The sequence below is a fragment of the Homo sapiens genome, chromosome 22, assembly GCF_000001405.40.
Source record: "Homo sapiens chromosome 22, GRCh38.p14 Primary Assembly".
Taxonomy (NCBI): Eukaryota; Metazoa; Chordata; class Mammalia; order Primates; family Hominidae; genus Homo; species Homo sapiens.
Genome location: NC_000022.11, coordinates 26,236,936 through 26,262,584, shown reverse-complemented (window position 1 = coordinate 26,262,584; position 25,649 = coordinate 26,236,936). Strand labels below are relative to the sequence as shown.

Genomic DNA, 25,649 nt, shown 5'->3' with positions numbered 1-25,649 from the left:
CCTTCACACTAGGAAAGAAGCCTGAGAATGGGAATGGTATTTGCGTTTATAAAACTAGCACCAGCAGCTGCAATATGGGCACATAGAAAAGGCTATGTACTAAATACTTGAATACAAGAATAAATGAATGAGTTTGTATGTTACATCCTGGTTCCTAATCACATCTGGATTAATATCTTTCCCTTTTTCCCTCAAAGATTTCTGCAGATTTACATGAGGAGATGTGCTGCAGTTGAGTCTCACACCTGCCATATATGTTCTTCTTCTCACAAGAAGGGCCATGTATTTCTTTTTAAAAGAGATAGATAGATAGATAGATAGATAGATAGATAGATAGATAAAATATATCAATATATAAAAGGTGCATATATATATCTTTTATATATCAATATAAATATATATTTGTTTGTATATCAATATATTAAATATATATATATATTCCCATTATACCTCTGGCCAACAGATTATTTCCAGAATTCTTTTGTCTCATAGAACTCACTTGCTACCCTGGAAACAAGAGAAAACCCAAATGGTTTGACTAAGCTTTCAAGACCCACTAGGGCTGGGTCAAACAAACTCCTTATTTCCCTCTGTTTCCCAATCGTGGAGGCTAACTCTTCCTCACTTCTGGATGATCACTCAGCTGAAATCCACTGGTCTCCTCTGTTGCTCCTCCTTGACCAATCCCACCTCCTCCTTAAAGCTACCTCCAATAATCTCAGTCCAATCTGACTTCTCCAAAATACTCGTATCAATTTTGCCTGAACCACACTTTTTATTATTTCATCCCCATTTTATTCACGCTTATCTACCCTCCCAACTCTATTCTTTCAAAGGAGAGACCTCACCTTGGCCAATTTTGTCTTTTTACAGCATCTGTACTTTATGCTTAGTAGGCACACACTACTTGTCTCCTCTGTGTATTTCTCTTGTAACTCCTTGTTCAGAGTCTGTCTTCCTCATTAGATTGTAAATTTCACAAGGTTAGGGACTATGATTCATCTCTATACCCTCTGTTTCCTGAATCCATGCAGTACAGTAAGTGGTCAATAAATGGTTTGTTGAAGCAAACAAAGACATAAAGTGGGGAAAGGACACCCTACACAACAAATGGCGCTGGGATGATTGGCAAGTCACATGTAGGAGAATGAAACTGGATCCTCATCAGTCACCTTATACAAAAATCAACTCAACATTGATCAAGGACTTAAATCTAAGACCTGAAACTATAAAACTTCTAGAAGATACATCGAATAACCCTTCTAGACATTGGCTTAGGCAAAGACTTCATGACCAAGAACCCAAAAGCAAATGCAACAAAAACAAAGATAAATAGGTGAGACTTAATTAAACTAAAGAGCTTCTGCTCAGTAAAAGTAACAGTCAGCAGAGTAAACAGACAACCCACAGAGTGAGAGAAAATCTTCACACTCTATACGTCCAACAAAGGACTAATATCCATAATCTACAATGAACTTAAATAAATTAGCAAGAAAAAAACAAATAATCCCATCAAAAAGTGGGCTAAGGACATGAATAGATAATTCTCAAAAGAAGATATACAAATGGCCAACAAACATATGAAAAAATGCTCAACATCACTAATGATCAGGGAAATGAAAATCAAATCCACAATGCAATACCATCTTACTCCTGCAAGAATGGCCATAACAAAAAAAATCAAAATACAATAGACGTTGGCACGGATGCAGTGAAAAGGGGACACTTCTACACTGCTGGTGGGAATGTAAACTAGTACAACCACTATGGATGACAGTGTAGAGATTCCTTAAAGAACTAAAACTAGAACTACCATTTGATCCAGCAATCCCACTACTAGGTATCTACCCAGAAGAAAAGAGGTCATTATATGAAAAAGATACTTGCACACACATGATTATAGCAGCACAATTCGCTGTTGCAAAAATATGGAACCACCTCAAATGCCCATCAATCAATGAGCAGATAAAGAAATTGTGATATGTATATATATATATAATGTCTATATCTATGCCTATATGTAATATATCAATTCTTTCCAAAAGAATTGCCTCAATTCTCTCCAAAATTGTCATATGTATATATGATGGAATATTACTCAGTCATAAAAAGGAACAAATTAATGGCATTTGAAGCAACGTGGATGGAACTGAAGACTATTATTCTAAGCATAGTAACTCAAGAATGGAAAACAAAACATCCTATGTTCTTACTCATAAGTGGGAGCTAAGCTATGAGGATGAAAAGGCATAAGAATGATACCATAGACTTCAGGGACTCAGGGGAAATAGTGGGAGGGGGTGAGGGATAAAAGAGTACAAATTGTGTTCAGTGAATACTGCTCAGGTGATGGGTGCACCAAAATCTCACAAATCGCCACTGAAGAACTTACTAATGTAACCAAATACCACCTGTTCTCCCAAAACCTATGGAAATAAAAAAAAAATTTTAAAAAGTAAATGTTTGTTGGATATATTCATCAAATGCATACCTCAAACTGATGTTTACCTTTGCATTGTGTATAATTTATTCCTCTATTAGATTAATAATAACCCTAAGCATGCCAAATCAGGATATGGGAGGTGGGTAGTTGTAATGATTTCCCCACTCAAGTTCCCAGAGGGAAAATCAATTTGTAATTGTTGGAAACATAATCAAATGTTCATAAAATTAGATCCCTATATAGTCACACCTAAATCGTGGCTCAATTTTTTTCTTTAATAGCACATAAATCACAAGCTTTTCATCAATAAATTAGGAGAAATTATGAGCTGTGGGAGATGTGATAGATATGATTGGCATTCCAGGATTAGAAGGTGGCCCTGCAAGCAGCCCAGAACACAATGGCATTTCAGCACAGCGGACAGCACCCCGCATGGGTGCCTCCTTTAAATACTTGAGCTATTCACGTGGTGGATGGCGACCTCAGCAGATCATGCCCTTAAGAGCTCCGACACCTGTGTTAAGAAGCCTCAGGGTATCTCTCTAAGTTGAGTCTCCTCTCTGCCCTCCTGACCCCTTTATTCTACCATGATCTTTCCTGTTGTTTCAATATTTGTACTCAGTTTTTGCCTCTTACCGATCATGTTGAATTTGTGCTTTTGCTTTTTCTTGGTAGGCTGAGTTGAAAAGGAAAGCTAGTTGGAGCAGAGTAGCCTTCCAGCTGCAATTACATGGGTTCCTCACCTTTCTCTCCTCCTCAGATTGCCCTTGAAGGCTAAACTCTATTTTGAAATCATTACTATAGGTATATGGGCTATTTTTGCCTCAATTCTTTCAAAAATTGTCAAGGATAGAGAGAGATATCAACAATTATTATCCTACCTCTCTTGGTGCTGACCATTTCATCCTCACCTTCTCACCCCAACCTTACCCCAAAGCTCTTTTCTTTCTCTCATTTGGGATGAAAAATATTTTTCTTCTCTTTTCAGCTATTGTGGTAGTCCTAGCTCAAGCCAGAAATCTGAAAATCTCCCATTTCTGTTCCCTCTGTATCCAGTCAATCACAAAATTTTGTTTGTTTTTAAACTTTATCATTTCCTTTACCTCCATTGGGCCATGCCCACTGGCCCAAACTAATATCTTCTCTTCCTTAGATGATTACAGCTGTCTCTTCACTAGTTGCCCTGACTCCAATCTCTCCCTCCAAAAGATCCTCCTTCCATGATGATTTTTCTAAAATTCTAATAGGACCATATTGTTCCCCAGCTTAAAATCCTTCATATTTCCTCCCTCAGAACAAGGTCTGACTTTTTCAAACATTGTGTATAAGGCCCTTCAAGTCTACCCAGGTCTGCACTTGCAGCCTCAACTCCTTCACTCCCCTTCTTACCACAGATCCTTTATAATTCAGTTATAGAGAATTATGCATCATTTTCTAGATAGATATGATATACAACATAGTGATTAGAAATACAGGCCCAACAGTCAGACTGCAATAAATACTGCAATTTGCTAGCTGTATGTAATATCATTGTACCCCAACTTCCTCATTTAAACACAGAAAAAAATGTAGTAGGTGAATGAGATAATTCACACAAGAGGTCTCAACATGGTGCCATTTTAATTATCATCAAATGTGCTGTGTTCTCTGTCCTTGGTTCATGCTGGTGCTTTTGCCCTCTCTTTTGCATCTGGTTAATTGCTAGCTTGTCTTCAACTCTCAATTCAGGCATTGCCTCCTCCAGGAAGCCCTTTTGGATTCTGCAGCTGGGGTGATGACTCCCTGCCCACTTCTTACACTGTCCTGTAACCATTCACATGTCTGACACATGCTATGTGAGTATGAGCTTCCTTTCTTCATCCTCAGTGCCTGGTGCGGTGCCTGATGTGGGGTTTAAACTCGGGGAGCACCTGTTGAATGAATGGATATGTAAGAAACTTACTCTCCCTATGCGTCTTTGTGTATTTCAAAGGTAGAGGCTGTACCTTCTCCTCTGGTCTCTCCTCCATAGCTCTCCACCCAGATCTGGGCAGAGCGGATGCTCACAAAAGACTGTTTAGTTAGAATGAATTGGAGATGACAGACTCATTCCGGAAGTCCTCTCGTGGCCATCTTGATAGAGGGAAAGGGCAGCTGGCTGGCAGGAGCAAGCAGATAAAGCGGGCCAGAGTTGGTATAAGCATTTATTCTTCTGAAAGAATTAAAGCTAATCTTTCATGAGCAGTCTGTTCGGATTCTCATTTCTAATACAGATGCTATCAGGGTCTTAGATGTGATAAACTCCCTGGGGTTTCTATAAGACTCTGAATGCTGTCTGGAGTTAAATGCCTGTTCTTCTCCAAGCTCCAGCAACTCCCTCCAGATCGGTGAGCGGCAGACACCTGGCTGCAGGGAGAAGCTAGGTTCTCCTTGCAGGCTGGAGTAATGGAGATAGGACAGCCTCTGTACTACCTGTTCCCTCTCTTCATGGTTTTCCCTCTTTAGTCCTCAGACCTCAGCATAAATGTCACCTCCTCAGAAGAGCCTTCTCCTGCCACCTTAAATTAAGAAGTCCTTATAATTTTACTGATGCCTTTGATTATTGGGAGCTCCCTGAGGGCAGGAATTGTCCATCTGGTCTGCCATTACATTCTTCTTATCAGCACAGTACCTTGCACTTAGCAAGTTTTCAATAAATATTTATGGAGGAAATTAATAGACAGGAATTAGGAGTGTTGTGAGATGCTAGAAAATAATTTCATTTTTGCGGCTTGTTTTCTCTCCTGTAAAATGAGAAGTTAAATGGGATTTTGTAGGGGATTTTTTCCCCAGATCCATCATCTATAAGCTTATAGGAATGAGATCAAGATAAAAGTATTTTGCATTGGGTGCTTCTCTTCAAGGACTAGAGCTTGCTTAGGTGCATTTACCTAGATTGGGGTTCCTTAACCTCAATACAATTGAAGTTTGGGCTGGATAATTCTTTATGATAGGAGACTGTCATGTGCATTTTAAGATGTTTAATAGCATCTCTAATCTCTACCCTCTAGATGCCAGCAGTAACCCCACCCCACCTGTTGTGGGGATGTTGTGACCATCAAAAACATCTCCAGACATTTCCGTATGTCCCTTGGAGAGCAAAATTGCTCCCCACCCCTGTTGAAAACCACTGGCCCAGACCATGGTGGCTCTGATGATCATGCTCAGGAGTCTACACTTGGTCCTGCTTTGAATCTAACCTGAACTTTCTCTGCTGCAACAGGAGCATGTTTCCTCTTGAAGGAATCTCAGCCGATGACAAACTCCCTCCATGGCAGTAGATGTCAGGCTTGAGTGAGCATCAGAACCCCAGGGAGGGCTTCTTAAAGCACAGATGCCAGGCCCTACCCCCAGAGTTTCTGACCCAGTGGGTCTGCGGAAGGGTCTGAGATTTTGTATTTTTAACAAGGTCCCAGGTGATGCTGATGCTGCTGGTCCAGGGACCAGGCTATGAAACCAGTGCCTTATGGCAGTGGTTCCCAGCCGTGGAAGTCCACGAGAGTCACCTAGAGAGCTTTCAACAATCCTTATGCCTGGGCAACACCCCAGCCCACTGCATCAGCCTCTTTGGGGTGGCACTGAGGCATCTGTGTCTTTTAAAGCTCTCCAGGTGATTCCAATGTTTCAGACAAGGCCGAGAACTTCTGTACTGTGGCACAGAGCAAGCCATGGGTCTCTTCTATGTTTTCTACATTCTGTGTGCATTTGGAAAGAGCCTTTTGGCCATTTTGGCTATGGGGAAATACTGGAATGGAGGAATCCTGCTTTTCATTCATATGTTGGTTTCCTCCTCACTCAGGTGACCTCTTATTCACTTCCTTTGTTCACTTCTTAGCTTATCTCCTTGTACCCATATTCCTTTGTTATTTATTCTTTCATGCACACGTCCCTGGCATCCCCGAATACCCCTCTAGCTTATCTGCCTTTCATTGTTTACCTAGTCTCTTACGCATTTCCTTACTTCTCCAACTACTTGCTCATGCTCCTTCCCATTTTTATCTTTGCTTATTTATTTCTCCTTTTGTGAGAAGAGAGGGCAGGAGAAGGATGAATAAGGCAACAGGTTTTTGTACATAGAACTCTCTTCCTCTTCCTTCCCTTCCTTCCTAATCTTCCTTTGAACTTCAGCTTAACCATCACTCCCTTGATCTCCCAGGCCAGCCTAAACCCCACTCATGTGCTCTTCCAACACTAAAGATCTCACAGCTGTAAGTTTACAATGATTTTAAATGGGATGATGGCTGCTTGTCTGCCCTACATGGCTGTCTGCTCCACGAAGGCAGAGGCCCTATTTATTTCACTTTTATTGGATTCCCAGTGACTAGCACCAAGCCTTCCCTGAGCAGGTGCTCAACACTGCGAGGTCAGATAGACAACTGCTGCGCGTTACCCTCTCCTGCCTCTGGGGATGCTTTTGCTATGCTGGAGAAAGTAGACATGGAGGTGACAGCCCCAAGACTCTTTCCCCAGCAACTGTGAGCTGGGATGAGTTCTGAGATTTCCTAGCAGAGACAGGAACAGGCCTAATTCCCTCTGTCTCGGCAAAAATTATCCTCAGGAGTCATGAAGGATTTCTCAGGGTGGCCTCAGGTGCTGGCATTTTGATTCAGGCTCACAAACCTCACAGAAAGTCCTTCTCTTCCATGTAGTGGGCAAGGGAGGCTTGTGTTAGCCATCTTCTTTGTTTGGAGACACCACTTTGAAATCTCAAATTGTTTAATGTTTACACAGCAGAGGGGATTCTTCTTCTCTATGAAGGCCACCCAGATAGGAAAGCTTTGGTGATTTATTCTAGGCCTCCTTCAAGCATTAACCAGGCTCCCGAGGGAAGCAAAAGGCAAGTTTGTAAATGCAGATGCCTGGGCCTTAGACGGATAAGTCTTAAGATGCCTTCACATCCTTAGGTCATAGGAAAAATGGGCACTGGAGGTTTGCACTGATGTTTTCATGGGTGTGTGCTCATCTCCAAATCCATCAAATTGCATGTAACAAATACCTACACATTTTGGTATGCCCGTTACACCTCAATAAAGTGGTTTTAAAAAGAGAGAATTCTAAAGTATTCTTTAGAACTGGTCTGCACAATGTATCCCAGGTTGGCTCTGCTGGAAGCTCCTTTATCCAAGGAAACTGGAAACAGTGGCTTGCTCATCAACAATGAGCTAGGACCAGGTGATAGAATTCTGAGGACAGGAAACAGCCCTCAAATTCATGCCTGGAGACACCCACTCCTTAATAAATAGAGCTGTGTAGGATATCCCTCTATCCACGATCTTGGCAGCTGTCCACTATCTTAGCTTGCTGGAGCTGTATTCTAGACCCTCCTCATTAAGACCCCTGACACTCACCCTCCTTCTGAAGCCCCCCAGTAGGACAGATGCTCAATTGCTCTGGTCTTACTGCTAGTAGAGAGGAAGAATTAATGGCGATAGTACTGTCTGTAGAGCACTCACCAAATGCTCAGCACTCTGTTGGGTGTTTTACATGTGTTATTTATTTATTTTTAAAGACAGGATCTCATTTCATCACCCAGGCTGGAGTGCAGTGTCACAATCATAGCTCACTGCAGCCTCAAATTCCTGGGTTCAAGCAATCCTCCCGCCGTGGCCTCCCAAAGTGCTGGGATTGCAGGCATGAGCCACTGCAGCTGGCCTACATGTGTTCATTTTGTTTGACATTTTTCCTTCCCTCCCATCTTCCTTCCTTTCCTCCTTCCTGCTCTCCGTTTCTGCTTCCCCTTCTCCCTCTTCCGTCCCTTTCCTTCCTCACTTCTCCTCTTCCTTTTTCTTTTTCAGTGCTAGCTGTAGTTAATGAGCATCTTTGTGTATACAACTTTTGCTACAGTTGAATCCATCTTCAAGCAGAAATTCCCTGGAATGAAATCCTTTGGTCAAAGGGCATGAACAGTTTTACCGCTCTAGCTGGACAGAATTGCCGTGTTGCTTTCCTAAGGGGTCTTTCAAATCACAAAGCCCCTGAGCTTACCAATGTTCTAATAACCTTGCCAACACCAAGTGTTATTGGTTTAAACATTCTAAGCTAATTTAGTTGGTGTAATGTGGTCCCTCAAGGGTAGTTGCAGGTGCATTCACTTGACCTCTACGAAGGATGAACATTTCCCATGAGTTTTCCACTTGTGTTTCATCCTTGGTGAGTTATTTAATTAAGTATTCTGTCTATTTGTGTTTTGTCGTCCAGATTTTTAAGACTAAAACTTTGAATGAATTATATTATAAACTCATCCTTATAAAATCTTTTTTCCTCATTATCACCTGTCCCAGGAGCCTTTTAAGATGACTTTTTCCATGAAAATTTAATACTGCAGATATACTGTATACTTATTTATATACCATAGGAGATCTGTTTTTTATACATACACAGGAACCTAAGCACCAATTTTTGTCCCTTTGGGGGCAACATTGCCCTCATTGAGAATGTATACAGTAAACTAAATTTAACTAAATAGTTCAACTAAATAATAACGCACTAATGATAAAGAACCAAATAATAATTGAACTAAATAATAAACTAACTTCAACAAGCATTTTCTGGGCATCTATTTTGTACAAGCAATGAGCTCGGCACTGTGGGTTTAAAAAATGAAGTCAAGAGCCCTGATATCTTTTCTTCTAGGACTTTTAATGCAAATAGGTGAAAACGTTGAGAAAGGACATTGCAAGTAGGGGGGTAAAAGGAACAGCCTAAATAAGGGTCTAGGGACAGTCAAAAAAACCAACTAAATATCATCATCATCAGCAGCAGCAGCAGTACCACCAACAATAAAGGTTCCAGAGGCAGGGGAACATACACATTTTATGCAGGAGTGGAGAGCTGAAGCCAAGACTATGCTGGTGATGCCCTTCTGATGCATAAGAAAGGGTATCCTGGTGGTCAAAGAGAGGCCTAGGAGCAGGAAGACCTCGTTCAAAGCCAGATGTGTAATTTGCTTACACTGTGATTCTGGGCCAGCCACATCATTTTGGATTTCAAATTTATAAAATGGAGGAGAATAATAATACCCACCCTTCTAGGGAGATGTGAGGATTAAATGAAATAATTCACTCTAAACTCTTAGCCCAATGCCTGGCCCAGAGGTAGGCCCCGAAGACTGTCTGCTACCACTATTAATATTACTCTTTGTTGAACTTAAAGCAGAACTACAATTCGACCTAGCAATCCTCTTACTGGGCATATATCCAAAAGAAAATAAGTCATTCTACTAAAATGACACATGCACTTGCATGTTAATTACAGCACTATTCACCATAGCAAAGACATGGAATCCACCTAGGTGCCCATCAATGATGGATTGGATAAAATAAATGTGGTACATATACACTGTGAAATACTATGCAGCCATAAACAAAGAACAAAATCACGTCCCTAGCAGGAACATGGATGCAACTGGGTGCCATTATCTTAAGTGAGTTAACTCAGGAACAGAAAGCCAAATACTGCATGTTCTCACTTATAAGTGGAAGCTAAACATTGGATGCATATGTACATTTAGATGGTCACAATAGACAGTGGGGCTACTAGAGGGAGGAGTGAGGGAGGGGGACAAGACTGAAAAACTAAAGATTGGGTAATATGCTCAGTACCTGGGTGATGAGATCAATCATACTCCAAACCTCAGCATCATGTACCATACCCATGTAACAAACCTGTACATGTACCCCATGAATCTAAAATAAAAGTTGAAATATCTATATATATACACACATGTTTCTTTGTCAATTTTGAGAACTTCATCTGAGGTAGGGAATGATTCTGCAAAGGGGTTTTTCAAGGATCTTTGGTAGAGTCTGAACTTCAGATAGATAACCAAAAATAAGTGCATAAATCACTGAAAAACTAAATTACTTCCTTTCTAGAGTTAGGTTACCCTTTTCTTAGCCCAACCCTTTCCTTTTTTCATTCTCTAGTCCAGCTTCTTAAATTTGAATGTGCACATGAGACACCTGGGGACCTTGTTAAAATGTAGACTCTGACTGGGTAGGCCTGGGATGGGATCCAAGCGTCTGCATTTCTAACTAGCTCCCAGGTGCTGCTGCTGCCTGTGCTGCTGCTGTCGCTGATGCTGCTGCTGCCGCCGCTGCTCCTGCTGCCGCCATTCACAGACAACACTTGGAGTTATTTTGCCCCATTGAGTTTAAATAGGGGTGGGGTGGGGGTGATCTCAGGATTCCAAAGGTATCCAGGGAGATGCATGGGGAGGAGCAGGGAGTGGGCAGGACACCCCCACTTACTTCCAGGGGGATGAGTGGCCACACACAGGACCACTCCTTTGCTCTATCAGGCAAGACTTGAATGTGTGTTGGGATATAGATGTCCATCCTGGCTCAGGGGCTGTGAGTCTCCCTGGCCTGGGGTGAGACACCTCCATTTCACAAATACCACTGAGCAGTTTCCATAATGACATCCCCTTTCCAGGGGGCACTGATTCTGTGCAGGCACTTTGCTGCCTTAGCAAGGATCCCCCTAGCAGCCCTAAGCTAACCAAGATGGGATTAGAATGAAAAACTGACTCCAAGCCTCCTCCCACCACCCCAAATACACAAACCCAAGATGCCTGACTTTCTCCAGCTCCCCTTCAGTCTTTACAGGCCCTGAAGTAGCTTCTGGGACATGCAGCACTTGCTGATGCTTTAATATGTGCAAATCAATAAATGTGATACACTACCCCAAAAGAATCAAAGACAAAAACCATATGATTATTTCAAGACTTGCAGAAAAAGCATTTAATGAAATTCAACATCCATTCATGATAAAAAAAAAAAAAAAACTTTCAACAAATTAGGAATAAAAGGAGAATACCTCAACACAATAAAGGCCATATATGGAAAATCCACAGCTTACATCATAATGAATGGATAAAAGTGAAAAGCTTTTCCTTTAAGAACTAGAACAAGACAAGGCTGCCTACTCTCACCACTCCTATTAAACACAGTGCTGGAGACCCTAGCCAGAGCAACTAGGCAAAGAAAGAAAGAACATCCAAAGTGGAAAGTTGTTTGCAGATGACATGATCTTATATTTAGGAAAAACTAAAGACTCCACCAAAAAACTCTTAGAACTGATCAACAAATTCAGTAAAGTTGCAGAGTATGAAATTAACATACAAAAATCAGAGGAACTTCTATACATCAACAACAAACTAGCTGAAAAGAAGAAATCAAGAAAAACAATCCCATTTACAATAGCTACCTCAAAAATATATAAAATGCTTAGGAATAAGTTTAGCTAAGGAGGTGAAAGACCTCTATAAGGAAAGCTATGAACACTGATAAAAGAAATTGAAGAGGACACAAAAAAATAGAAAGACATCCCATATTCATGAATTGAAATAATTAATATTGTGAAAATGACTATATTACCAAAAGTGATCTACAGATACAATGCAATCCCTATAAAATACCAATGACATTCTTCACAGAGATAGAAAAAGTTCTAAAATTCCTATGGAAGCACAAAAGATCCCGAATAGCCAAAGCAATCCTGAGCAAAAAGAACAAAGCTGGAGGCATCATACTACCTGACTTCAAAATATACTGCAAAGCTATAGTACCTAAAACAGCATGGTGCCAGCATAAAAACAGATACATAGACCAATGGAACAGAATCGCAAACCCAGAAATGAATCCATGTATTTACACTAACTGACTTTTGATAAAGGCACCAAGAACATTCACTGGGGGAATGGACATTCTCTTATTAATGGTGCTGGGAAAACTGGATATCCACATGCAGAAGAATGAAAGTAGACCCCTATCTCTTATCATATACAAAAATCAACTCAAAATGATAAAGACTTAAATGTAATATCTGAAACTATGAATCTACTAGATGAAAACATAGGGGAAACATCTTGGTTCATTGGTCTGGGCAAAGATTTTTTGGGTAAGACCTCAAAACACAGTCAACAAAAGCAAAAATAGACAAATGGAATTATATCAAACTAAAAAGCTTCTACACAGCAAAGAAAACAATCAACAGAGTGAAGAGACAACCTGCAGAATGGGAGAAAATATTTGCAAACTATTCATTCAACAAGGGATTAATATGCAAAATATACAAGGAACTCAACTCAACAGCAACAAAACAAATAATCTGATTAAAAATGTGACAATGTGCTGAATAAACATCTCCCAAAATAAGACATGTAAATGGCCAACAGGTATATGAAAAAATGTTCAACATCCCTACTACATCAGGAAAATACAAATCAAAACTACAATGAGATATTATCTCATCTCAGGATGGTTATTATCAAAAAGACAAAAAATAACATGCTGGCGAGGATGCATAGAAAGAACTCTTATACACAGTTGGTGGGAATGTAAATTAGTATAGCCATTATGGAAAACAGTATCAAGGTTTCTCAAAAAATTAAAAGTAGAACTACCTTACGATCCAGCAATCCCACTCTCAGGTATATATCCAAAGGAAAGGACATCAGTATGTTGAAGAGATATCTGCACTCCCATGTTTATTGCAGCACTATTCACAATAGCCAAGAGAAGAAATCAGCCTAAGTCCATAATGGATGAATGGATAAAGAAAATCCAAGAAATGGACACACATACACACACACACACACGAATACTATTCAGCCATTTAAAAAAGAAATCTGTCATTGGAGGTAACAAGGATAAGCTTGGAGGCCATTGTGTTAAGTGAAATAAGTCAGGCACAGAAAGATAAATACCACACGTTCTCACTCATCTGTTGAAACTGAAAAGGCTGATCTTACAGAAGTAGAGAGTGAAATAGTGGTTACTAGAGTCTGGGAAGGATAAGGGGAGAGGAGAAGGAGAGGTTGGTTAGTGGATACAAACTTACAGCTAGATCGGAGGAATAAGATCTCATGTTCTATAGCACTAGATGGTGACTATAATTAACAATTGATTGTATATATTCAAATAGCTAGAAGAGTGAATTTTGAATGTTCTCAAGACAAAGCAATAATACATTTTCGAGGTGATAGATATGCTGATTATCCTGATTTGATCATTTGTGTACACGTATTGAAATATCACGCTGTAGCCCATAAATACATAAGATTATTATATGTCAATTAAAAAATACTTAAAAAAGAGAAAGTTTTAGTGCAACCAGAAGATGGCTCTTTTTGAATCTTATTACTTTAGCTTTACCATTCCAAAATATTAAAAGACAGTTCTTATCAGGAGAAAAAAGAAAAGAAATGCATGGGGCATGGGCAGGTTCCCCTAGGAAGGCAGTCTTGCATAGCCGCTTCAGCCACTGGGTTGTTTGTACCAGCTTTGCAGCAGGATCCACCCCATGAAATTTCTTTCCTTAAAACCAGAGTCCTTTCCAAGGAAAATGGAGTTGGTCTTTTATGCAAGGTCAACCTAAACTTCCAGAGTTGAAAATGCCACTCACAACTTAACCATTCTGTCTCCTTGCTGGAAGCAGAAGGCAAGTTGGCAAGAGAGGATCTTCGATGCATGAGGTCAGAGTCAGAATTGTATGTCCAAATCCTGGATCCCGTGATTCACGGCTGGGCAACCTTGTGCCAGTTATTTTACCTCTCTGAACCTCATTTTCTCAACCGTGAAAAAGAGGTCATTACAACAATCAAAATAGAAAAACTAGCTGGGCATGGTGGTCCCAGGTACTTGGGAGGCTGAAGTGGGAGGATTGCTTGAGCGCAGGAGTTCGAGGTTACAGTGAGGTATGATTGTGCCTCTGCACTCCAGCTGGAGCAAAAGAGTGAGACCCTGTCTCTCTCTAAACAAAAAAGATACCAATAGTAGTTCCCTCTTACTAAACACTTATGTACAAGTCATTATGTATCCTTAATCTCATTCCAATGCTATGAGGTAGGAATGTCACCATTCACATTTTACAGATGAAGACATTGTGGCTTAAGGAGGTAGTACAATGATGTTGACACTGGAGGCATTCTGAATATTTGGTGTGACTTCTACGAACTACCTGGCACACAGTAGGTCCTGATGCTGAGCTGTCATCAGGGACTTGTCCAGGTATTGCAGCTTTTCCTTGTCCCTGCCCTGCAATCCTCCAAATGCACCCTGAACTCTTTGTCCAGTCTGGCTCTCTGTGATGGAGACACAGACAGAACTCTCAGTTAGAGTCAGGTGACTGCCTGGACACTCTCTGGAGGCTGAGGGCAGGCAGGGACATCAAGGAGACAGCCCAGGTCATTGTGGGTTCTAACGGTGATGGTGTCAATGTGTGATCATCTGGAGACCGTTTAAGTGCTGGCACTGTTCTACAACCTTTGCATGGATCATCCTGCAGAATCTGTCTAGTGAGATGTGAGATTTCCGCTATATCATCACAATTTTATAAAATCCCAAAGCCTAGAGAGGGTATATTAGTTTCCGAGAGCTGCCACAACAAATTACCACCATCTAGCTGGTTTAGAATAACAGAAATATATTCTCTCACAGTCCTGGAGGCTAGAAGTCCAAGATCAGAGTGTCAGGAGGGCCATGTCTTTTCTGTAGGCTCCGGGGAAGAATCCTTCCTTGTGTCTTTCAGTATGGTGGCCCCTGGCAATCCTTGGTGTTCCTCGGCTTGCAGTTGCATCACTCTCCTACCTGCCCCCATCATCACATGGCATTCTTCTCTGAGTGTGTCTCTCTGCATCTTCCACATGACCTTCTTAGGAAGATACCAGTCATTGGACTTAAGGCCCACCCCAATCCAATATGACCCCATCTGACGAATTACATCTGCAAAGACCTTATTTCCAAATAAGGTTACATCCTGAGCTTTTCGGCAGACATGAATTTGGGGAGGGTGGGGACACTATTTGACACAGTACAAAGGAGGAATGACTTGCCTGAAGAAGTAGCAGAGCTCAGTGTTGAACCCAGATTCCGTGAAGCCCAAGTCCATGCCTATTTTAGTGATTTTCTTAATAACATCATTGGGACCTACCTGCCCTACAAATGCCCTTTGTTTACTTGAATCTTAAGTGTGCCTGGTGTGGGCAAAAAGAACACAGCCAGGCAGTCATTTCACATCATGAGATGAGGGTATGGGGTTTTCCTATTCATATATCAGAGTCTATCTCTACCTCTCAATTCAGACAACAATAAAATAGCACACCCTTGATATTTGCAAAGCCTTCTAGAGTCTGCAAAGCACGTTCGCACTCAGCACTGTGAGAATGACCTCTCAAGAATTTCACATAGTTCAAATTGTCACCCCCATTTATCTGACAGAAACATTGAGACCCAGACGGTGCCATAAGGAAATGCATTAGAAGATGGGTTGGAAGTTCCAAAGTACTGTGCTAATGAAGGGGGTTATTAATAGCTCTAATTAAGAGCAGCAACAACAATGCTAATCATCTCTACCCATTACAGATTCAATTCTATGCAATAAACATTTCCAGGCGCAGTGCTACGTACTCAACAAATATTATCTCATTTAATTCAATTAACGGCAACCACCCAGGAGAAATGTTGTGGGATTAATCGACTGCATTGTAAGGAGGAGCACGAGTGGGTTTGAAACTTTGTACTTTCGTACTTGGAAATACCTTTTTTTTTTCCTTTGGGCATTGGTGAGTAAAAAAAGAAGACAGAAAGTCTGGAGTTAGAGGGGAAAAATGGCTTTTCCACTGAGACGAATATGAGAGAGTTGGCTTCTACCTTCCTCTCTAGATTAATAACTAGAGGGTCTTGGGATTAGAAAGCAGTGTGCCCCATTTTCTTCCTTCTAATTCTTTCTTTTCTTCCTTTCAACAAATGTGAGTGTCTATTACATGCCAAATACTCAGGTTGGGTTAGGGTTAGGGTTAGTAATACGATGTGGACTAAATCTGTGTTAGGTAAAGGAAGGTGTCTTTCTACAACAGGAGAGGCTGTGTCTTACAAGGGTCTGAACTCAGGATTCTCAATTGAATTTAGGATCACCTAGAATGGAAACGGACATGGAACCCAGACCCAGTGTGAGAACTCAAGGAGAGGAGATTTGGTCAATTATTAAGACTAAGACAAGTGAATGTCTAAGGACTACCTCGCCTAATAAGTTTCAACACCCACAAGCAATCCTGTCTTGATATGTGTAGAATACAGCATTTCATTTTTATAAACTCTTCATGTAACAATTTCTCGAAAACTCATTTTTGCATGGTCTGCTTTGGCATAGAGTTTCACGTTCTAACTACGTGGAGTATTTACAGGAATCATCATCATTGCCCTTTGTAGCAGGTAGCAGCAACATAGGTGTTATAATAATAGCAATGATAAAACAGCAATACTAATAATAATGGTGACAATAGCAGCAGTAGCAGCAACAACAACAACAATAAAATGCTAATAAAGAGACTGTAGAGCCAGCATCCCCATCTGACACATAAGAACAGGAAGATTAAAGAGAAGGGAAGTGACTTTCTCAAGGTCACACATCAATCAGCGGCCACTCTCAGAGGAGGACCTGGTGTTCTAAGAGCCAGCATTCTTTAATCACAATGCCAAATAACAATAACTGCTAGCATTTTGACCTGCTTACCCTGACCCAGGCATTGTGTACGAAGCTTGGCAAACAATATTGCAAGTCATCACAAAAACTTAAAGGAGGCACCACCATCAGGTCAGCCCATTTTCCAGGTGGCCCAAGTCCCCATGGTGTAAAATGCATGCCAAATGGGGAAGGGTGGGCTTGGGAGAGTCCCTCCCTAGAGGAGGGAGAAGGAGCCTGCAGAACAGGTTCAAGGGAATTCAAGGGCTGCCTGGGAGCCTGCACCCCTGTTCCAGCCGAACATCTTTGTCTCTCGTCTCTCTTGTTCAATTTTACTGCATCCCAGTTTTTCTAAAGTCAGGCTCTCAGCAGCCGGGGATGCTGGCTTCAAGGTCCACAGGAATGGTGCCTGGGGAATTTGCATAGCTACCTTGGCTACAGGCAAGCAAAAGGTTGCCATGGAAACCCTTCATCCCTTCTCAGACCTGCAGCCTGTTCTCCCTCCCCTGATGCTCCATCCCTCACCTCCCCACCACAAAGGGGCACGGGAAACCAGAGCGCCCCAACAAAGGCAGATGTACTTAAGGGTTATCTTTTGATGCGAGCTGGCTTCCTTGCCTCTGGTCCCCTTCAAACCCATCCTTGCGTGCTGCCCAAATAATTATTACTTGTCCAGTTCAGATCATGTCATTTCCCTGCTCAAAACCCTCCGTGGCTCCCCATTGCTGAAGGAGCAAACACAAACCCCTCGTTCTGCTATTTAAGTCTCCCTCTCTGTCTCTCTTCTCCAACTCAGCTGCACTGAAATCCCATCAGTCTGTGGTTTCCCAGAGGGATCCCTACAGCCTTGTTCATTGTTGCTTCCCTGGTGCCTCGTATAGCTCCTGGTGCGTAGTAGGCACTTGGGAAGGGGGAAAAATATAAAAGAAGGGAGGAATAAAAAGTGCCAACTTTTCCTACCCTCAACATAGCCTTTGCTTCAGTTTCCTGTGAGACAAATTGGAGTTTGACATCCCTCCTCAAGATGCCTCCTCCAAGACCAGGTAGGTGCACACCTCAACTCCTGCCAAATTCTTCCTATCCTTAGAGCGCTCAATGCAGATGCCACTTCCTCCAGTAAGACTTCCTAGATACACTATTTAAAACAAATATCTCTCTGTTCTAGAGTTCCCTGTGGCTGAGCTGTGTGTGCAGAGAGCACCTTTCTCTCTCCTTGGGAAGCCCTTTGAATGTAGAAACTCTGCATTCCTCATTCCTGTGCCCTCCCTCTCCCCAGTGGCTAGGACTTAACACCAAAGGGTGCTCAGGAAACAAATGGAAGCAGGTAAGTTTTTAAGTCATTCACATAACAGGGCACGGTGATTTTCCATGATTTCAGGGCTTCTCAAATGAGCTCATTTTATTGCAAGGTTCACAGCTTCTTTAATGCACATGCAACTTGGGTGATGGGTCACCCTGCTCATTTTTCTACTCTTTTCTTTCTTTCTTTCTTTCTTTTGAGATAGGGTCTCACTTTGTCACCCAGGCTTGGGTGCAGTGATGTGATCTCAGCTCACTGCAGCCTCAACCTCTCAGGTTCAAGTGATCCTGCTGCTTCAGCCCCCTAAGTAGCTGGGACTATAGGTTTGTGCCACCATGTCTGGCTAATTTTTGTATTTTTAGTAGACACAGGGTTTCACAATGTTGCCCAGGCTGGTCTCGAACTCCTGAGCTCAAGTGATCTATCCACCTCGGCCTCCCAAAGTGCTGGGATTACCGGTGTGAGCCACCACGCCAGGTCTCCCTGCTCATCTTTCTTCTCTTGTGAGCCACCACGCCAGGCCTCCCTGCTCATTTTTCTTCTCTGGGGGCTTAATGGGTTAAATAAAATTACCAGACCAGGTGCTTTGATGAACTTAGAGCTCTGTCCTCCTCCTCTTCTTTTAGTTGCCCTACTCTCATCCTTGTCCTTTTTATAATCTCTTCTCAACGCATCAGCTAGAGTGATCCTTATAAAACGTAAACCACAATAAGGTCGCTCCATGGCTGAAAACCCTCCAGTGGCTTCCTGTCTCTTTAAGACACCCTCAGTCTCTAAGATGATTGTTCTGCTCCATCTCCACCCTTCCCTCACTTATTCTGATCCAGCACCCTGGACTTTTTGCTGTTTCCTGCACATCCCCAGTGTGGTCCTGCCTCAGGGCCTTTGCACATGCTCTGTCAGAATGCTGTGCACCAGTTATTTGCATGGCTCATGTCCTCATTCACTCAGCTCTCTCTGCTCAATGCTGTCTTCTCACAGAGGCTTTTCCTGCTTATTCATTATCTGAAATCCTCCTTAACCCTGCTTCACTTTCTCCATGGCACCCTCTGATAAATTCAATGGATATTTGTTTATCCTTGATATCCTTGTGGTGGGTCAAATTGTCTCCCTCAAAGACATATGTTCAAATCCTAACCCCCTGTACCTGTGAATGTGAACTTTTTGGAAATTGAGTCATTGCAGATATAATCAAGTTAAGATGAGATCATTCAGAATTACAGTGGGCCTTGATCCAATGACTGGTGTCCTTATAAGAGGAGGGAAATTTGGCCACAGAGACAAAGAAAAGGTCATATGAGACAGAGGTAGAGCAGAGACTACCAAGGGTTGCAAGGCAAACACCAGAAACAAAGATACGGAACAGATTTGCCCTCAGAACCTCCAGAAGGAATCAACCTTGCTGATACCTTGGTTTCAGACTCTTGGCCTCTAGAAGAGTGAGAAAATACATATCTGTTGTTTTAAGCCACTTGGTTTGTGACACTTTGTCATGGTGGCCCTAGGGCACTAACCAACTCCAGGAGGACTGGGAGCATGTTTCCCGCTGAATCCCTGCCATCTTGACCACTGCCTGGCAAGAGAAGACACTCTACCAACATTTTTTTAGGTAAATAAAAGAATTCATTTTTCAAGTCTTCATCAAGAACCACTATGTGTACAGTGCTATGTTAAGTTCTGGTAAGTTTCATGTTAATCCGAGGCCCCAGCATCTCCTCTTCCAAGGAGCAACCAACTCCAGAATAATAATAATTGTTCTTTTTTACATTGCTTTTATTTTTCTTTTTTCTCTCTCCATTTCCACGGGTATCAATAGTCGTGGTTCTTAAACCACTTTTCCAGTTTCTCAAGCACTTTCAGCCCTATGATCACACAAGACCCTCACCAACAAGCCAGCAAGCCACGAGCTTGAGCTGGACTTACTATCATTATCCCGATTTTCCAAATAAGGAAGCCAAGACTCAGAGAGGTAGAGAGGTTTGTCCAAGATCACCCAGCCAGGGAGGGGCTTGAGCCCAGGGCAGTGTGCCTCATACAGAATGAGCCTGGCCCCATGGACTGGAGGATATCAGTGAAGGAGCATCTCAGGAAGCAGCCCCGAGGTTGTGTTAGGAAGCATTTATTGAGTGCCTACTGTGTGAAGTCAGCCTCTGTGCTGGGCATGGCATGCAACCCCGTGCACTGAGACAGAAATGGGGAATTGGGGCTCCATGATTTCAGCAACCTGCCTGGGCAGCAAGTCTGAATGCCAGCTTCACTGACAGCTGTTTGATTTGGTCAAGTGACACCTTGTCTTTGAGCTCTGGAGACACCTGTAGCGGCATCTGCATCCACCTCCCCTAACACCTGCCCACCCACTGAATAAGTCAGTTTTCCATGAGCCTCTGAGGTATGGTGGCTCTCCTCAATGTGCACCAAGTCCCTTAACCATAGTTAATCACAGAATCTCACTTTAAATAAACCTTAAGGGAGCCTAGCTTGTCCTCCCGGTGTCCTTGGTGCCCAGACTCATGTGCCATTAAGCCTGTGACATTAATGGAGAGTTACTCCAGCCTGTGGCATGAGGCAAAGAGGCTCCTCCTAAGATAAGATGGGAATCTGAGAGCCCAAAAGCTATATTTAAGGGAATTTTAGAAGTGTTTGTTTTTAAAATGTAATGAAATGGTTATTATCAACTTTTTTCCTTTCTCCTCCTGCCTTCTTCCCAAACAGGTGCAGTGAGATTAGTGGTAATTTAAAAAGCAGGATTGCCTCTGTGTCAATTTCCCGCTAATGAGCAAAACTCGCCGTGTAATTGCTATGTATTGAACGAAGCAACAATACATTTTCAGTGGCTGTTTAATATGCTGGGGCTTGGTTTAACAGATGTTCTGAGACTCGCTTTCCAAGACGGAGGAGCCAAGCCCAGAAGAAGAAGGTGACATTTCCCTTTCTTTTGCCTCTGTCCAGTGCTGCATCCCTTGGAGGGCATGAGGCAAGGCCACGTGAGACACAGTCGGTGCTAGATTCCTGGAGGCAGAGCTGAGGGTAGGTCTTGAAACCAGCGAGGGTAGCAAGCAGAGGAAGATGACGATCCATTCCTCTTCTGATCTTCACTATAAGGGGCACCAAGCCCTGGGTCATGACAAGGTCTTATATTTAGCATGGACTTGCAACCAGTAAGTGCTGTCCCTTGCTAGCTCTGTGACCCTCTCATGTGACTTTAACCTCTCTTGAGTCTCAGCTTCACCATCTTTCGAATGGGGATAACACGTAACATATCTCATGAGGATGAAATGATGAACGAACAGGGCCGTTCCCCTGCCTGGACACTCTTCTCTAGAGTGTCTGCATGTCTCTCTCCCTCACTTGGGTGCATGGACGCCTACTGTCCATTGCCCTCCTCTGTCTGCCTCTGGCAAATGCTTTGTGCTGGGGGTTGGTGGATATGAAGGTCAAATGTCACCATCTTCCTAGGCCTTTCCAGAATGCCCTCTTGCCTGCTCTCTCCTTGACATGCTCCACGTTTCTCCCATAGCACCTGACACCCTCCAACACTCTGTGTTAACTCACATATTTTTGTTTGTTTGTTTCTCACCCTCTGTCTCTCCTTATTAGAAGGTAAGCTCCACGAGGGCAAGGATTTATGGCCTTTTTCTTCCATGGATGACTCTGAAACGCCTAGAACAGTACCTGGCACACAGTAGGTGCTCCACTAATGCTGAATGAATGATGCATGTGGAAGGCTGAGTCTGGTTCCCACAACACAGTAGTAGCTCAATAATGATAGCATATAACATTATTATTTAATTATTATTAAATTGCCTCAAGCAATTTTGTGTCCACTGTCTGTCAGGACTGGATGGGACCAGATGCCATTAACTACATACTCAGTCCTCCCAACAACCAAGTATAAGGCAGGTACTATTATCGTGCCCATTTGACAGAGGCTCAGGAATGACTGCCCACATTCACACAGTTGACAAGGAATAGGGGGCTGATTCAGCATCACACCTAGGCCTGAGTCCCAAGTCCTCTTTTCAGGACTTGGGTGCCTGAATGTGGGACGTACCTGATGAATGGGACTCTCCTTCCATCAAAGAGGAGGGGCTGTTTGGTTTGAGCCTTTGAAAAAAAGTCAAACACAAGAGGAGAGAGGGTATATGAGACAGAGGGAACAGCATGAGCAAAGGTGTGGGGGTCTACCAGATGTATTTCTTGTGCATCCTCTATGTGCCCAGCCCAAGGCAAGATGCAATGGTGTGTGTGTGTGTGTGTGTGTGTGTGTGAGTGTGTGTGTGTGTGTGTGTGTGTCTGTATGTGTGTATGTGTGTGTTGAGGGGATACACAGAAAGCTGCAAATTGATATTTGCAGCTCAAGAAGCCCCAGCCCCAGCCTTGTTGAGGGAAGTTGAATTCTCTGAGTTAAGCCAAGGGTGAGGTGAAGGTGCGGGTGGAGGGGGCTGTGTGCGGTTGTGGGGGGATGGCAGAGGGGATTGGGGTTGGGAGAGAATGAATACAAAATGAATGGCTTTGTGCTTGGGCCTGCATGCAGCAACAGAAGGTCACGCCAGCAGGTTCAGGATGCATTTGGCCAGCATGGAAAGTGAAAAGAGAATGTTTTACAACCTCAGCGGCTCTGTGAGTCAGAAAACCACAGCTGTTCCATGCTGATAAGAAACCAGGGGAAGATAAGTTGCCCCTTGGATCTGAGGAAGAGGTAGCAGGTGGAGTTAGAAGGATTTGGGGTTGGAGTCAGGGGTCTGGGGTCTCATCTTGAATCAGTCCTCCCAGAGGCTCCAAGGCTGAGGGAAAGAACTTTGGTTTCAGAGTACTGGAGGCTTGGATTTAGGTGTGGATTCTCCTTCTCGCTAGTTGCAGTTCCTTCTATACAAAATGAAGATTCCCACAATCCCTTTTCATGGTCTCACTGGATAAAATGCTGCTTTGTGAACAGCATTGAACAAGAGGGTGCAGAACCTGTCTGATGATGCTTGAGAAGGCTTCCAAAGAACTTGCTGGCTAACTGGCAAGTGCTTCTTGACCATCTACTATGAGCAAATGCTGAGGTGTGTGCTGGGGATAGGGGACCTAAAGCCACAGCCCTCTCCACTCCACCCTGCCCCCCAGCTGGCCAGATGCTCCCCCTCCTTTTTTTGAGACAGGGTTTCACATTGCCGCCCAGGCTGGAGAGCAGTGGCCCGATCATGGCTCACTGCATCATCAGATTCCTGGATTCATGTAATCCTCCCGCCTCAGCCTCCCAAGTAGCTGGGACTACAAGCACATGACATCATGCCCTGCTAATTTTTTAAATTTTTTGTAGAGATGGGGTCTTGCTATGTTGCCTAGGCTAGTCTTGAACTCCTGGCCTCAGGTGATCCTCTTACCTTGGCCTCCCAAAGTGTTGAGATTACAGGGTTGAGCCACTATGTAGAGGCCCAGTTACACTTCTAAAGTCACACTGGACTTTCTGCAGCTTCAACCCAGCAGTTACAACATGTTGTTCTAGTTATTCGAGAGGCAGAGCAGCCTAGTGTGACCAGCAGGGGTTTAAGTTGGAAGGAACTGGTTTGAATCATGGTTCCTTCCTAACTGCATGAACCTCAGTCAAGTGACTAACGATTTCCATGCCTCAGCTTTTCCATCTGCAAACTCAGGGTAAAAATAGGACCTATCATCTCATTAAGCAATGGAGAATATTGAATGAAATAACTTATGCGAAGCCTGGCTTATTGTTGGTGCCCAAAAAACAGCAGGTATTACTATTTTTGCTATTATTGCTACAGCTGTTATTATTTATGTACTTTCTTTATCTGGCCACTTATGCTGCTGTCTCCTGGGAAGCAGTGCCTGCGTTTTACTCCTATTTGACATCCGCAAGGGATCGGAACTGCCTGGCTCAACACAGGTGCTAATCAACAGTTTTGAAGTGGATGAAGGAGTGGTTGAATGAATGCCATCTTGTCATGAGGCCATCTTCATAAACACGGTTCCTCAACTTTTGTCTTCTTCCAGATGGAATGCATATTTTTAGTTCTTGCACATCCTTCTGTGTTTCCCTCCTGAGTGCTTTGCCCCGTAGTGGCTCACAGTGGGTCCGTACAAAATACCAGCCTGAATGCCTACGCAGCCCTTCAGGCTAAACCCTTCTAGGACACAACCTTTTCATCAACTGCATGGGGCCCACAGCTATTCCTTAGCCCCTTTGCCCTTCTGCCTGCTCTGACCAATGCCCTGCCCCTTTAATTAATAATAGGGACATGATTTGCTCAAATCCCGACCTCTGTTCATCCACTGCCCTGGGATATCAGTAAGATGTTTACTCTTCCATCTCCCCCGGGGAACTTGGGTTCCACAGCTCCTTTATCAACAATAATCCTGGGCTGCAGGCTTGATGGTGGAAAATGAATATTCTGGCTCCTTTTCAGTTTCCAGATTGATTGGGGACAAACGGGAACTCAGCCCTCTCAACCAATCATCCAAGGCAGTCAGCTGTAACTAGGTGTACACTTAAACAGCCGGCATGTGAAATAGCACACTTGTGCTCTGCTGATTAAAAAAAAAATCCAAATCATTATTCCCCACCTTCACAGGCTTGGAGGCCTAGGAGCAGGTGGGGTGGGGTGGGTGGCAGATGAGGCTGCCTCAGTAGCCCTAACCATTTCATCATTAATATCCACCCACCCACTATGCATTGTCCACAGTAAAATGTGCTTTGTCTTCCACACTGTATTGGTGAACAAATAAATCACTCAGTTCCTTGGTTTTAGTAAAACAATAAGAGCAACACTGGTGTAGTGTTTACTTTGTTCCAAGCACTTTGCATATATGAACTCACTTCATCCTCCTAACAACCCAACAGGTAGGTATCATCAGGATACCCATCTTATAGATGAAGAAACTGAGGCACAGAGAGGTGAAATAACTTGCCAGGTTTATCCACTGTATAAGTGGCTCTGGCTTCCACTCTGACATCTTTGGATTTCTACATGCAAACATTTTATTGGGAGTTTCCTATTTGTGAGACGTTGCACCAGAACCTGAGAATAGGCAAAAGACCTGGTCCCTGCTCATTGTGGGAAACAGGCGTGTAATTGAAGGAATGAAGCAGTGGCTAACGTGAATTAGAGCTTACTCAGCAGCGAGTCAGTGCTAAGAAGCTTTACGTAATAGTTCTCATGACAACCATATTAGGTAGAAACTTGATTATCCTTGTTTGACACACAGGGAAACTGAGGCTCAGGGAGGGGAAGTGGGGAAGTCACACCTCGAGTTGAGCAGCTAAGCCTGGATTTGAACCTATCCCTGTGTGACTCAACATCCCACTGCCTAGGACTCCCTGGCAGCTAGCCCAGCCTGGATGGTCAGTGGCAGCTTCTGGGAGTGGGAAGACTGAGAGCGAGGCAGAGAATGAAAGGGGGAGCAGAGACAGGTTCTGGTTGA

The 25,649-nt window shown here is 43.1% G+C and overlaps 1 protein-coding gene and 1 long non-coding RNA gene across 8 annotated transcripts in view, besides 2 other annotated features; one reads left to right on the top strand and one right to left on the bottom strand.

The window, feature by feature from the left end:
• The window catches only part of SEZ6L (seizure related 6 homolog like), a 214,135-nt gene that overhangs the window by 121,012 nt on the left and 67,474 nt on the right, over positions 1-25,649 (bottom strand). The window lies entirely within an intron of this gene.
• Positions 15,978-21,252, top strand: SEZ6L-AS1 (SEZ6L antisense RNA 1). Of its 2 annotated transcripts, none has more exons than XR_002958742.2 (3): positions 15,978-18,248; positions 19,730-19,833; positions 21,174-21,252. It is a non-coding gene; the product is annotated as an SEZ6L antisense RNA 1 (long non-coding RNA). The 2 variants fall into 2 exon arrangements; XR_001755470.3 differs by lacking the exon at positions 21,174-21,252 and adding an exon at positions 20,937-21,011.
• Positions 22,708-22,993: an enhancer, noted in NCBI's record as "tiled region #5864; K562 Activating DNase matched - State 24:Quies". NCBI's record gives its function as "activates a minimal TATA promoter and a strong SV40 promoter by Sharpr-MPRA in K562 cells {active_cell/tissue: K562}" and the evidence as "EXISTENCE:reporter gene assay evidence [ECO:0000049][PMID:27701403]".
• Positions 22,708-23,002: a biological region, named in NCBI's record as "Sharpr-MPRA regulatory region 5864".